The sequence below is a fragment of the Homo sapiens genome, chromosome 10 (assembly GCF_000001405.40).
Source record: "Homo sapiens chromosome 10, GRCh38.p14 Primary Assembly".
Lineage (NCBI taxonomy): Eukaryota > Metazoa > Chordata > Mammalia > Primates > Hominidae > Homo > Homo sapiens.
The window spans coordinates 112,597,961-112,612,897 of record NC_000010.11 but is presented as its reverse complement, the minus strand read 5'-3'; the positions used below and the strand labels follow the sequence as shown (position 1 = coordinate 112,612,897).

Below are 14,937 nucleotides of genomic sequence, written 5' to 3'. Positions count from 1 at the left end.
GTCCAAACAGGCAGGCGTAGATATCTATTATCTGTTTTATTTTTCTCTATTGTCAAGATAGGAAAATGCTTCATTATAACTTTTATTTACATGTTTTGGGTATGCAAAAAATCACAAGAAATTTATATTTTATAGGTTATTATCTACAAAGCCTTCTTTGAAAAGGTACTTGTGGGTTGGGCATGGTGGCTCATGCCTATAATCCCAGTGCTTTGGGAGGCTGAGGCAGGAGGATCACTTCAGGCTGGGAGTTCTAGACCAACCTGGGCAACACAATGAGACTCCTATCTCTACAAAAAATTCAAAAAATTGGCTGGATGTGGCAGCATGTACCTGTAGTTCCAGCTAATCAGGAGGCTGAGGTGGGAGGATCATCACTTGAGCCCAGGAGTTTAAAGTTACAGTGAGTTATGATCGTGCTATTGCACTCCAGCCGGGGTGACAGAGTGAGCAAGACCCTGTCTCTTAAAACAAAAACAAAACAAAACAAAAAGGTGCTTGTCTTTTTATTATAGTATGACTAGTAGGAAGCAAGAAAGAAATCACTCTAGGTTATCCAAATGTATGTATGACGACCAAAATTTAATTTAGACTGAAAACTATTGTTCTAGTTTCTACCAATCTTAATTAAAACCGTGTTTTCCTTTCTAGACCTCTCTAGGACAAATCACTATCTGACCAGATTGGGTACCCGATTGATAATAGAAAATGAGAGTAGACACTTTTTTAGTCACATGAAAATCCTGATACCTCAGTTTTCAAACTTACGATAAAATGGCTTTTTTATTTTTAAAAGAATTTGAGAATCCATAGGTTTGTATCCAAGAAAAAATAACTCTAATAATTACCTTTCTCAAGGCTGGGCACGGTGGTTCACGCCTGTAATCCCAGCACTTTCGGAGGCCGAGGCGGGCGGACCACGAGGTCAGGAGATCAAGACCATCCTGGCTAACATGGTGAAACCCTGTCTCTACTAAAAATACAAAACATTAGCTGGGCATGGTGGCAGGCGCCTGTAGTCCCAGCTACTCAGGAGGCTGAGGTAGGACAATGACGTGAACCCAGGAGATGGAGCTTGCAGTGAGCTGAGATAGCGCTACTGGACTCCAGCCTGGGCGACAGAGCGAGACTCCGTCACAAAAAAAAAAAAAAAAAAAAAATTACCTTTCTCACCAAATGGGCTTTACCAAAGGTGACTATTTTGTCAGATTTTGCAATTAGCAAAACTCACTTTTTCTTCTTCTTTTCTTTCTAGATTTGGTTTTTATATGCGAAAAACATCAATTTAGGTGCTGACATTAAAAATTAATTATTTTCTATGGCATAATCTTGATGACCTCTAAGGAACTCAACAAGCTTCCCACTGAACCTCACCCTCATTTTACCATGTAGTTTGAGAAAGGTCATCATACACAAGTACATTTTACACAAGTGATCAGAATAATATGTTGCCAAATTACCAGGGAGCTTTTAAGGAACTGCCGTATTGGAAGCATGGACAATCAATCAGAACTTCTAATCCTTCCAAAAGTCCTTCCAAGTTACTTGCTACATAGCATGATGATGAAAACAATGAAAAACAATGGCAATAAAAAGAGTAGAGAATCAAGCTCAACAGATAATACATTTTATTCTGTTCTACCTAGGTCCAATGAGACAAGAAATCTTATTCACAAGTCATCCCTAGAACCGCTGGACTTTGGCCACAGCAAGTAACATTACTCTATTGTCGTTTCTTCTAAAGATTATTAGGATTTGTCAATGTCACCATGCTGGGACAGCTCTCATTACAAATGGCTGAGATTAAAAGTAGCTCTAAGTTTCTTTACAGTGAACATAAGAAAATTTGGTATTAAGAAAGTAGCAAAAATCTGCCTGACAACAACTGATAGACATTTTCATTTCACGTGTTGGACAGTCCACACAGTCTAGATCCATCCTAAAGTTCAGAGGGAATGTAATACTTTTTTTTTTTTTTTGAGATGGAGTCTCGCTCTGTCGCCCAGGCTGGAGCGCAGTGGCGCGATCTCAGCTCACTGCAAGCTCCGCCTCCCGGGTTCACGTCATTCTCCTGCCTCAGCTTCCCGAGTTGCTGGGACTACAGGCGCCCGCCACCGCGCCTGGCTAGTTTTTTTGTGTATTTTTAGTAGAGACGGGGTTTCACCATGTTAGCCAGGATGGTCTCAATCTCCTGACCTCGTGATCCGCCCGCCTCGGCCTCCCAAAGTGCTGGGATTACAGGCATGAGCCACCGCGCCCGGCCGAATGTAATTCTTAAATAGGTATTTTGTCCTAAGTTCTGAGTAATAAGCTATCAAAGCAAAACAAAAGAAATGTACACAGATTTATTTTTTCTTTTGGCAAAATTATTTTATTCATTAGGTCATAATATTAGAGTCAACTGTCTAAAAGAAATTTGAGTAGGAGATAAAAATTGGACTGGATGATTTCAAAGATCCTTTCCAAATCAAAGATTCTTTGACTTTATGCCACATTTTGCTTGGTGTTTTGGTTTGGGAAATGCCTCTGAAAGGAAAATGAGATTACAAGGCTCAAGAGATTATTGATTTTGGGGGCTTTTACCTAGGGCAACAACAGCTCATCATTGGCTTCTTTGAAGCTCTTACAGACACTCCTGGGGCCACCCATGTTTTCCACAGGCTTTGCCACAGTGTGGTCCTAAATGGATCATCTTGAAAAAACTTGAGGAAAAAAAAAAAAAGACTGGAAAAGTATATAATTTTTATGATTCCCCCTGAACACTGAAGATGATTTTAACTGGAATAAGGCCAGTTAAATGCGCCTCATTTTTTTTTCTTTTCCTGTGTGTTTTGTTTACCACACTGTTTCTCTTTTCCTATGTGTTTACCACATTTTTTTTTCTGCAAATATTGTACTTGAAAGCCAGGGTGCAGTCTTTGAAAATGCCTAGGAATAAACTGCCATTATTTTGTGATAATAAGACTAAAACTTCCCTATCCTTTTAAAAGTGAGATTCAGAGTACCATTCTGGACGGAGCCATTTGCCTAAGGGCCATGGAGACTTCAGCAGCAAACCCCTTTCCACATGGATTTGGGACCGCTGCTCCATGAGGCACCACTGAATCTGGCAAACAAAACCCAGAACATTTAATTCACCAATGTGATTTCATTTTTTTAAAATTGAGGGCGTAATAATATGTCAGGGAGGGATGCATACTGGATAAATGCTTAAAATAATTTTATGATGACAAAGTATTCAGAAGAAAGACTTTAAAAAATAGAATGTTTCTAAAACAAGAAACATGGCTTCTATGCAGAAATAAGGTCATATAATTACATTATAAAAATCTACCATACCATTCATGTATCCATTCAACATTTATTGTCTTCTACTATACTCAAAAGTATTAGATTCAGGAAGAGGACTTTGAAAATTAACAAGATCTGATCCCTGTCGTCACAGAGTTTACACTCAAATTATTCCCCCATCCTCTTCATCATTACTACAAATGTAATTACTTTTAAAGTGATTTTTAACTACCCAAAAGAAGTTTTTCATATTTTTAATGATCTTGTTCCAAAGCTAAGACTACCTTCATTAATTTAACCATGTTAAATGTTTGTTCAATATTACTTGCTTCCTTTTCTTAGAATGAGTTCTTATTTTAATGAATTCTCCTTCAAAGAGCAAAAATACACCTCATCACTTAATCCTTTCCCAAAGCATATGCCCAGCTTTTTGGTAGGATTAAGCAGCACAGTATAAGAGGAACTTCTTAAAACGTACTGATATAGAAATAAAATAAGATTCACCAAATCTTTATCATAACCATATATCCCACCAAAAAACCATTTTCCAATGATAATTATTTCTATAGATTTCGATTTCCAACTTCATTTTTACTAGTATACATTTTGTTAAAATATTTTTAAAGTACAAATATTTGACTGAAGATATTGTCACTGCAAAAGCTGCTACATCTCATGATAGCTACAGGAACAGACACATGCTAATTAAGATACTAAAGAAGTGAAAAAGCATCCTGATCATTTAACATCAGTTTCAAGCAATATGGAAAGAGTAGAATAAGAAACAAGAGATGTTGAAGATGTTATTTTCCTGACCAAGAAAGGTCAGACATAGTGCATCAGAATGCTGCATCTTAAGAAAATCATTATTTTAACTGCTGAAATTCCAGTGAATAGAATTGTTTTCAAATATTAAAATCTCTGTGGTAGGCTCTGACCTCAGAATAACAAGAAAATGACAGGTGCTTATCTTTCCGAATATAAAAATGACCCTTATTGTAAGGTCATCATATAAAAGGCCTATTTCCCCTTCATGAAATAAATAATTATACCAGTGATTAGATATATTTGCCCACATGTCTACATGTGGTTTAAGTGGTCATTTCAATGACTTAAATATAGAAAAGAACTAACACCTACAAACTTTAAAAACTATAGTCCAAGTGGCCCATAGGCTTTGTGTATCATTTTTCCTTGGCAAATTATTTATACAGCTTCCTCAAAAACCCCATAAATGTTCTTTTTAAACAAATCGCACTTTATTTATCACATCAGGCATACACTGTTTTAAATAGCTGGTTTTCTATATATATATGCATATGTATGTATGCATGCATGTATGTAACAGCACTGTAAATGATGTGGAAGTCTTGTCTAATTCTACTGGAAGGGTATCTTCTTTAAGAAATTCTAAAAGGCTTAAAGTAAAATTTTTCAAAGGAGGAAGCTGTAACGTGAGTGTCTGTGTCACAGAAAGGGTTTACAGTAGAGTTCTGTGGTAGCCAGCCCCAAGATGGCCCCCAATACCTTTTGGGAGCAGACACCCTTATGTAGTCCCTCCCACGTTGTATCAGGGTTGGTCTATGTGATCAAAAGAATACTGCGGAAGTGATGAGGTGTCAATTCCAAGGTTAGGTTATAAAAGATGCTAAGGCTTTTGTCTTGGCTATTCTCACCTACACTCTCTCTTAGAGACGTCAGCTGCCATGTTGTGAGAACACTCACTTATGGAGAGGCCCATGTGGATACTTGCCTATGAAGAAGCCCAAGGGATGGAATAAAAGCACAAGGCTTCCAGACAGCAGCAATTTGAGTGAGCTTAAAAACAGATTTTCCAGCCCCAGTCAAGTGTGCTGATGACTACAGCCCCAGCCTACAGTTAATTATAACCTCATGAGTCCGAGAGACCGAGTCAGAACCATCTGGCTATGCCACTCAAGAATCCATGACCCAAAGACACAGTGTCAAAATGAATGCTTATTATCTCAGTTTTGGAGTAATTTCTTTCATAACAAAGGACAAGTAATAGAAGTGGGGCAGTAGGATACTTTTCCATTCAGAAAATCTTTCCTACCTTCCCATTTTAGGCCAGGCACTGTGCTAGGCACTGAGGATACTGTGATGAATAAGACAAAGTCAGTCTCTGCTCCTGGAGTTGTTGGTGTAGAGTGGGTACAGTGCAGTGAACAATTACAATGATGTCTTAAGTGCTGTAACAGGGGAAGTATAACTGCTCTGCTATCTTGGCTCACCTCCTGCCTATATGGTCTTGGACAGCCACTCAATCTCTCTGTGACTTAGCTTTCTTTTTTTTTTTTTTGAGATGGAGTCTTGCTCTATCACCCAGGTTGGAGTGCAGTGGTGTGATCTTGGCTCACTGCAACCTCTGCCTCCCGGGTTCAAGTGATTCTCCTGCCTCAGCCTCCCAAGTAGTTGGGATTACAGGTGCCCACCACCATGCCCAGCTAATTTTTGTATTTTTAGTAGAGACAGGGTTTCACCATGTTGGCCAGGCTGGTCTCGAACTCCTGACCTCAGGTCATCCACCCACGTCAGCCTCCCAAAGTGCCTGGATTACAGGAATGAGCCATCATGCCCAGCCAACTTAGCTCTCTTATCTTTAAAATGTGAATAATAACACTTACCTCTTGGGTTGCTGCGAGGATGAGAAATAACATATGTAAAGCACTTGACATAAAGTTGGTGTTTAATACTACGTGGTAGCTGTTGCCACTAGGACTAGGTTCTTTAAAAATAGGAAGCTAATTTGATTGTGAAAACTAGTATTTCATTTTAATAGCATAAAGGACAAAATTTAACAAGGAAACAGAAAAGTGAGTCTTCCCTCTAGTTCTTTTCCCATTCTCATCTTAGCCATCAGTCACTAATAAAACAAATGTAAGTGTCTGTTCAAGTGTCATTAACTAGTGGGCAGCTGAGCTATGGTCCTAGACATGTAATATGAAGAAAGTACTAGGAGTAACTGAAAAAAAGAACAACAAATCTATAGGTATTTACTTGGGCCCAGCTGTGCACAAGGCAATGAGAAAGTTGTGATGGGGAAATGCAGACATTAGTTCTTGTCCTCACACAGCTCATAACTGTCTTATGGTGACTTGCCCCACTTCCTGGAAATAATGAGGAAAAGCACCAGTAAGTGACAAATGAGTGGTAAAGGATGCTGGTTATGGAATTCGGGGGAGGAGCAGCACACCACGGGTGGTGAGGGCATGAAGACTTGATGCTCAAGCTGGTAAGAGTTATATCAGAATAGCACGCAATGGCCGGGCGCGGTGGCTCACGTCTGTAATCCCAGCACTTTGGGAGGCCGAAGTCGGTGGATCACCTGAGGTCAGGAGTTCGAGGCCAGCCTGACCAACATGGAGAAACCCCATCTCTACTAAAAATACAAAATTAGCCAGGGGTGGTGGCGTGCACCTGTAATCCCAGCTACTCGGGAAGGCTGAGGCAGGAGAATTGCTTGAACCCAGGAGGAGGAGGTTGTGGTGAGCCGAGATCACGCCATTGCACTCCAGCCTGGGCAACAAAAGCAAAACTCTGTCTCAAAAAAAAAAAAGAAAAAAAGAAAAAAAGAAAACTAGCACACAATGGCCTAAAGACTACATGTGGTCTTGTTTTGTTTGAAGAGTTTTGTTTGACTCACACAGTGCTTTAAAAATTGGATACTTTAAAGAGAACATACTATTTTCTAGCTTTGTGTGAAAAGTTGGATGGTCCAATAACTTAAGATGCACTCTCCACCACAGCTGTCCTTTCTAGGGACAGGGTGTGTGCCAATTCCCATACCCCTGTGTTCCACCTCTGGCCTATTTTACTCACATCCTTTCCCTGTAAGGCCCTTCTAAGCCATCATAATTGTGGAGGTAAGAATGACATGGAGCTGCAAGCACAGGCGGCTGGATGTGGGTAGGTAGATAGTGGCCTTAGTTGCAAGGAAAATGCCTACTGTCTTTCACTCCATCTGTCTTACACAAGGCATTTCTTGCTTGTCTCCAGATATCTGAGTTACAGACTCCTGGTGTGGAGAGAGGGAGCGGTGATCCTCCAGTGTGCACAGAGCTGTCTCTGGAGTTAGGCGAATCCATGGAATTGAAAGCAGCACACGCTCAGAAGCAGCTAAGGTTGTAGTGGAGAAACAGTAAAGCTATGAGCCTGTCCTTTTATTTACTCCCTCCCTGGAAAAGTAGAAGGAACCAATTTTCCTTTCTTCCTCTACCTCTTAGGTGACTTGTTGGTTCTTCTGTAAATTTCTTTCCCTCTCAACACTGTTCTTACAGTACAGTGTGGTTCAACTTCCCCAGATAAATACGTCAGGGGTGAAAGGAAGGCAAGGGGACACTACACATATCGTTCTTCCTCTTTCTGCCCCAGGAGCCAGGCCTGGGTTTGTCACACTCCTGGACAAGGTCGCCTGGAAGGGGCAAAACCTGTGGAGATTGAGCCGAGTGTGGGGGAAGATCAGGATGGAAAGTCTGGTTTGGCTACGTTGTCAGGGTCAGGGACATAACAGAAACTAAAAATAACCTCTCTGTGGGGAAAAAGGTTATAATGTATACCGAAAGGAATTCTATGTTGACTTTTTAATTTTTCCTGCACAAATTTTCAAAAGAGGCCTATATAAGAGAGGTAGAATATCCAGAGATAGATGTACAGAATTATATATTTAAACACAATGTTCACTATGACACATTTGATTACCCTATTCTAAATGAGAGTAATACTTCATTTACCTAAGTGAGTAAAACTGTACTCAGTGATCACCGCTGTACACCAAGAAATGTGCCTTTAATTAGACAAGGTCACCAGATCATAAAATAAACATGAAGAATCAGAAATGTAATGTTTTATATCTCTTCTGGCTTTTAACTTACACATAGTATTTTCTCCTCATTTATTCCTTTGTTTTCTAGTAATAGACTCGTATACAGGAATATGCCCAAACAGTTCCATGAGAAAGAGGTGATGTGTAGAACCAGAGATACATCTGGTTGTGTGGAAGCAAAATCATTAGCAGTTTATGAGTGTATAAGAGTTTCAAGTTATATGAAAGCCCCAAAGAACACTGATTTTCTCATATACTTATTTTAATCCTAGTGTATCTTAGATTCTTTATAGAAACAAGAGAAAGCAAAAATGGAGAGAAAGGTGGAGAGCGAGTTAGAGAGGGGGAAGAAAGAGAAGAATAGGATAGAGAAACAAGGACATAATCATAATTGATTGTGCACTGACTTTGTGTTAGGTGTTGTAACTCTTTACACGTATGAACTTTAACTGTTTACATGTATCTTCCTAATAACCCATGAAGTTGTTACAAGCCCCATTTTGTAAGTCAGGAAAATGGAGCATAAAGAGGTTGGATAACATACCCAAACTAACACAGCTAGTTGATGGAGGCAGCTGAAATGTAAAACCAGGCAGTGTGGCTCCAGAGCACCCACTATGCAAAATTAACAAAACAGATCATAGGGCTCGGTCTCCACTGTCTACTGGGTCACTCGTATCCCCACCCTGTGTTAACCCTCAAACCAAAAGAAAAAAAATGAGTTTATTTCTTAAGCATGTGAATCTGGCACTGACAGCCTCACATCCTAAAAGACAGCACACTGGACACAGGAAAATGCTCAGGGGGAAACAGTGAGCCAGGTGGGCTTAACTAAATTGCTTTCTAAGGGGGATGAGCTCATGAAGGTTTTGTTATTGTTACTGGGTGTTGTCATCTACCAAGAGTAACTGCTCTTCTCCTTTACAGGTAACCAGGCACACAGCCAGGCCTTGTACGCTTGGGTGGGGTGGGGGATGGGGAAGGCATTGGGAGGGAGTGGGTTGCTAAGGTGGATGATGGAAAGCTATTCTTTCTTGTCATTCATTGAGCTGGTCTTGGGATGTAATGCCCCTTTTGACTATCTAAGAAATCTGTGAGCATACCATACAAGGGGAAGAAATTTTGGAAATTCCTAGGATATATTTTGAGATCCAAAGTGTGAAGCACTCAGTTTGAAGTAAAACAGTATTTAGTTCCTATGAGGGAAAAAAACCTACTGGGAAAAATCATGACAACTAAGGAAATCACTATTACTATTACTACTGAAATGGTTAAAAACCAAACAAACAAAACATAAAACAAAATTAAATTAAATAATGACTTTTCTACTCAGGAAAAAAAAGGCAATGAATGTTATTGAAAAACTAAACAAAACCCTTCCTACCTCTGCTATATATCAATGGTCAAGGGCAGCCCCACACCCTCAGGATCAAAAGACTTCTATGGGACAAGTCTTTCTTGAAGGGAACAGGCTCTTATCTCAACACATTGTCAACAAGCTCCCAGTTAGCAATGTCCAACTTCATTTGGGTTTAGCTTGTTATACTCATGCTTGCAATTTCAATGCCACATGGCCCAAACCAGCTTCAACAAGTCAGTTCCCCCGATATGGCTCAGTTATACAGCCAGCATGGTAATACAATTTAGGCAAACGATACAATGAATTACTAGAAGCCTGAAAAGAACCCACTCCATGAATCTCCACAAATCATTTATGAATTCAAAATAAAGTATTATTAACAACAAACACTTCTGACCACAGATAACTAGGTGACACAGAAAATGTTTCAATCATGCACTGGGTTTAAAAAAAATTAAGCAGCACATCTGCTTTAGCAGGCTATTTGGACAATAGTTTCAAGTAGTTCTATGTGACCAAATGCTTTTAAAAAATTGATCTATAAAGGTGTTTCTCTAAAGCTTAGGCTTTCATAAAAAAAATCACCCAAATAAGTGTTTACAAAATTAAAATAAATATTGATGTGAACCAGCTTGAACTCTGCTGTTTTACTGTTTGACATTTTGACCACAATTTCCCAGTGTATGCATCCTTTATAAACATGTTAGTAGCTGCTTCCTAAAGGCTGCCTGATAGTAAAGACTTACAATTCTAAGTCCATCACAATGTCTTATAAATCCATTAGCACCAATATTTGTATATTAAAAACATAATCAATTGTGGCTTCACATTAATTGAGGCATTTCAGAATTTGCTATCAAAAGGCATCAAAACTATTTTAGAGTTTAAGAGGTTTAGATAAACATTTCAAAACATTTAAGGATCAGTCTGAAAGAAAGCTTTGATAAGTCTCTATCTTAATTTTCTGAGCTAGTATTATTTAAGCCCTGGACTGCTTCAGCTGAATTTTGTCTAACTCTTGCATATCAATTGCTCATTTTCAGCAATATCCCGGGTATGCCCCCTGCCATTTGTGGACCTGCCTAAGCAAAAGATTTGATAAAAAAAATTTTTTCATTCGCTCAATAAACAGTAAGTCCCAGGCACTGAGCAAGCAAGGTTGAGGTCAAAGGGTGAATAAAATCTAGCCCCTGCTGTAATTATTCTTAATTAGGAAAGGAATATGTTAGAATTAATGATTTAATTTTCACTTTTGACATTTCTATTGCTCATGTTAACTTTAGAAATGCTCACATTAAAAAGTGCATTCTATAAATGGTGATTTAGAGCAACTGTCATGTGAGGAACTAATGCCTGCATGTTTCAGTTCTTCTCATTTTTAATGGCCATCAACCCCAGCACTCAGAAAAATATGGCTCATACTCCAGCCACATGTTTTCTTCAGAATTTATGGAAATGTATTGTCTTTATCTGTATTTGAATAACCCCAGGCTACTAAGGGACCCTAGTTGTAATCATTCTGCTCTATCAAAATCTAAATCCAATTTCAGATGTGTTTATTTAATTTCCCAATGCCCTTCAGAAAAATTACTCCTAAGAAGGATAAAATGTGGACCATTCTCATTAACTAATAGTGATACCTCAGAGCACATGGCATCCCCCATCCCCTTGTCTTACTAATAAATAGTAATATCTGATACAGAGAATCTTTGTTTCATGATGGAATGAGATGAATTCGTATTACCCATTAATTTAAAGGTCAAGGGTTTTACTGGCCAGTCATGCTTATGAAAGCAAACAGGACAAACCTACTTCCTAGGATGAGGCACGGAACAACTAAGAAAAGTGACTGCATACCACAGTAAATAAAGAGAGTCGACAAGGCATTGGTGCCTGGTTGGCACCAAATTAATTAGACCAGACACATTTACAAAAGATTCCCCATAGAAATAGTCATTTAAATTAAAAAAAAAAAAAGTAAATAATTGATGAGTCAGAATTTTAGCCGAGAACCTTCTTAATATTAGCAAAATTGTTTAGGCATAGCAGATATGCCAACCAGTTTTTATTGAACTTCAATATTTACTGTCATTGGGGTAATATTGACTCTGGTTTCTCTGTGGTCAATATCTTTCTTTAGAAAAGCATCTTGGACTTTTCTGCCTCTGTACCTTTGTTTAAGCAGTTCCTTTCACCCAGAATGCTTTTCCCTTAAGTCCCACATATCAAAATGCTACACATTGTCCAAAATGCGGCCAAAGATGACCTCTCCCACTCCCCACAATGAAGGTTTCCCTAATGCTAGCAACTGGATACAGTGCTCCCTTCTCTGAATCCCCATAAAACTATCCTTGCAACATGATTACAGATGTCAGAGTCTACTACAACTTACACCTGTCAGTCCAACACCGATTGAAATTTGTCTTCTTTACTAGATTGTAAATGCCTTGAGGGCAAGCAAGGGATTGCACTTTCTTCATATTTGCATATTTTAAAGCCTTAGCACTAGGAAGTGCCCATAGCAGATGGAATATTGCAAATGCATATCCATGCTTTAAATGAATGTCTGCAACTAACTGTCTTAATGTAATTCACATCAAACATTAAACATTTGTAAAAATTCATTCATTCGTGATTTTTTGAACATTCACCTTTTGTCAGTCACTGTTTTAGGAGCTAGAGACACAGCAGAGACAAAACAGACCAGACATCACGGACTTTTCATTCTCGTGGGAAGAAAAGACAATAAACCCATAAATATAGACTATAAGGTCAGTTAGTGATAAGTGAAGGGTAAGGTGAAAATGAAAGATGCTATTTTAGACTGGTGGTCAGGAAAGCGCTTTCTGCAGAGGCCACACATGAACGAAGCCAGTGAGCCATGTGCGTATCTGGGAGAAGAAAACAGCAAGTACACAGACCCTGGGGCAAGGGTGTGCTGGGTATTTTAGAGGAGCAAGTAAAGAAGAGTGGTAGAAATTACGGTTGGAGGATAAGTGGTCAGATAATGAAAGGCCTTGTGGACCACGTTAAAGACGAGATTTTATGCTAAATATGATGGGAAGTCATTGGACAGTTTTGATCAGAAGATCCTTGATCTGAGTTATGTTTTCAAAGCATCACATTGGCTGCTAATAAGGATAAAAATGACTATAGTAGGGGCACTCTGGAAGATGGGAGAGGAATTAGGTTGTGGTCACACATCTTTGAGGGAGGGGTGCATTATTCTATGTACCACACATGGTTTTCAAACATTCCGTTTTTCAGATTGTTTTGTGATGTGGTGGTAAATAACTAGGGTCAGATAGCCCTGGATTTAAAACTTGCTTCATCACACACCAGCTGTGAGCCTGCAGATATGGTTCTGAATTTCTCCAAACCTTAGTTTCCAATTCTGTAAAATGAGAATAATAAGTATCTATCTATAACCTAATGAACACATAGCATAATTTATTAAAAAAAATTTACTGAGTTGCCCGGAGTTGGAACGTTATTATTCGTTTTGAGCATAGAAAGTCTCCAGTGGGCTGGGCACTGTGGCTCACGCCTGTAGTCCCAGCACTTTGGGAAGCCGAGGCAAGATCATCCTTGAGCCCAGGGGTTTGAAACCAACCTGGGCAACATACTGAGACCCTGTCTTGACAAAAAATTTAAAAATTAGCTGGACGGAATGGTATGTGCCTGTAGTCCTGGCTACTCAGAAATTTGAGGCAGGAGGATCACTTGAACCTAGGAGTTTGAGGTTGCAGTGAGCCATGATCATGCCACTGCACTCCTGCCTGGAAGACAGGTGAGACTCTGTTTAAAAAAAAGAAAGAAAAAAAGCAAAGCAAATCAAGCAAGGAAAGAAAGTCTCTGGCATTGAAGGCTTTCCATGAAGGCCTTCTCCTTCAGCGCTTATTGGCGGTCCAGTCGTTTGGCATCCACCATGGACTGTTTTGTCCTAATATTTAACTTCTCACATGCATACGCCCTAGCTATGCTCGAAGATCCAAGAGGGCAGTATCTTCCTTAAGCCCTGGTTCCATTTTAAAATCAATAAAAGCAGGTCTGTCCAATTGGCCTGCACCATATCTACCCAACACCACATCCTGGCTGCCTGTGTTTTCTTGCCTACTATGCTCTTAATGCAATCATGGCCCTCCTTGTGGGTTGCTTCCTACCTCACTCTGGCCTTGCAGATCCCCCAATCCTACTCTGCAAGCTGCTTCTTGTTTCGGGCCTTTTGAGGGTTTCAAACATTGGCTTTCCACAGTGGCCCTGGACCTCTGTCTCTCATTTTTCTTTATCAGAGAAGTTTCTGGAAGGTTGACTCTTCCTGTTCTGGGTCCAGACCCTCAAAATACAGTCAAAGACGGACTGGTATGTTTTGGAGAAATGGTGAACGGAGGATTGACTGAATGAAGGAAGGAATAGAGCAGACTCTTACTGCAACTTGGTTTCTTGTTATTATTGAGTCAGATATAACGCAGATTGACTCTCTCCTCTCAAAAATAAACTTGCTGTACAAAAGCAAAGTCGTAGGAAACCGGATAAGCCCAATTCACATATGAATGCATAGCAGGTCTTTCTTTACACACCAGCATTACCAAGGGGGTCTACCACACGTAGAAAATCAATCATGAGTCCAGCTTATTTAAAAGAAAGGGATCTTTTCCATCTGACACCTAATGGCAGCAGCAATAATGCAAAATCAGCTTTAAAAAAATTGGTCCCCATTGTTCTCCATTATTTGGGTCTTTGATGTATCCTACATTATGAACTATCAAAGCAAGGCAATGCATCCAAGGTAGGGAACGCCACTAATGAAGGAAACATTAAAAGGTTATGCTTTCCCCCCATTACTTTTGTCTTCTTTGCAAATGGTTTTAAAGGTCATTTTAAAAATAGCCTGCAAGGCTACAAAGGCCTCTAAATATTTAAATAACACAATGCAGTTTATTTTTACGTAGTGTTCTAAATGCACATCACAAAATGCTTCACAGAAATGTCAGTCAAAGGCTAAAGAGGAGAGAAAGGTACATTTGGAGACTGAACAGAAGGAAAACAATGGTTCAGAAGGAAAGGAAGAGGTCTTTCAATAAATGGTACATAAACTACCTGCATAAGTGAAAACACAACCATACGCTTTAGATAATTAGAGACTTACAAGTGAAAGGGGTTAAGCTGAAGACAGCCAAAAATCAAGGTGCCCAAGAGTTTACTGCAAGAAAACTGACTCAGAATGGTCTTGGATCTTCAAGTGCTAGTCTCATGTTACTCTGAAGAACGAAGCTAGATAAAACTGCTTTTATTTTTTTTGAGCATTTACTATGCACCAGGCCTCATGCTCAGTACTTTCTATGACACCAGGTATCCCTCATAGGTTGTTTCATTCTGTTTTGTTTCTTAAGAGACAAGGTCTCTTGGCCGGGCGCGGTGGCTCATGCCTGTAATCCCAGCA

The 14,937-nt window shown here is 39.5% G+C and overlaps 1 protein-coding gene and 1 long non-coding RNA gene across 9 annotated transcripts in view; both read right to left on the bottom strand.

The window, feature by feature from the left end:
- VTI1A (vesicle transport through interaction with t-SNAREs 1A) overlaps positions 1–14,937 on the bottom strand; it is a 408,381-nt gene that overhangs the window by 242,471 nt on the left and 150,973 nt on the right. The window lies entirely within an intron of this gene.
- Positions 1–14,937, bottom strand: part of LOC124902503 (uncharacterized) — a 44,104-nt gene extending 29,167 nt beyond the window's left edge. The window contains exon 1 of the long non-coding RNA XR_007062292.1: positions 1–14,937. This exon is cut by the window's left edge and continues 17,480 nt beyond it. This is a non-coding gene — a long non-coding RNA (uncharacterized LOC124902503).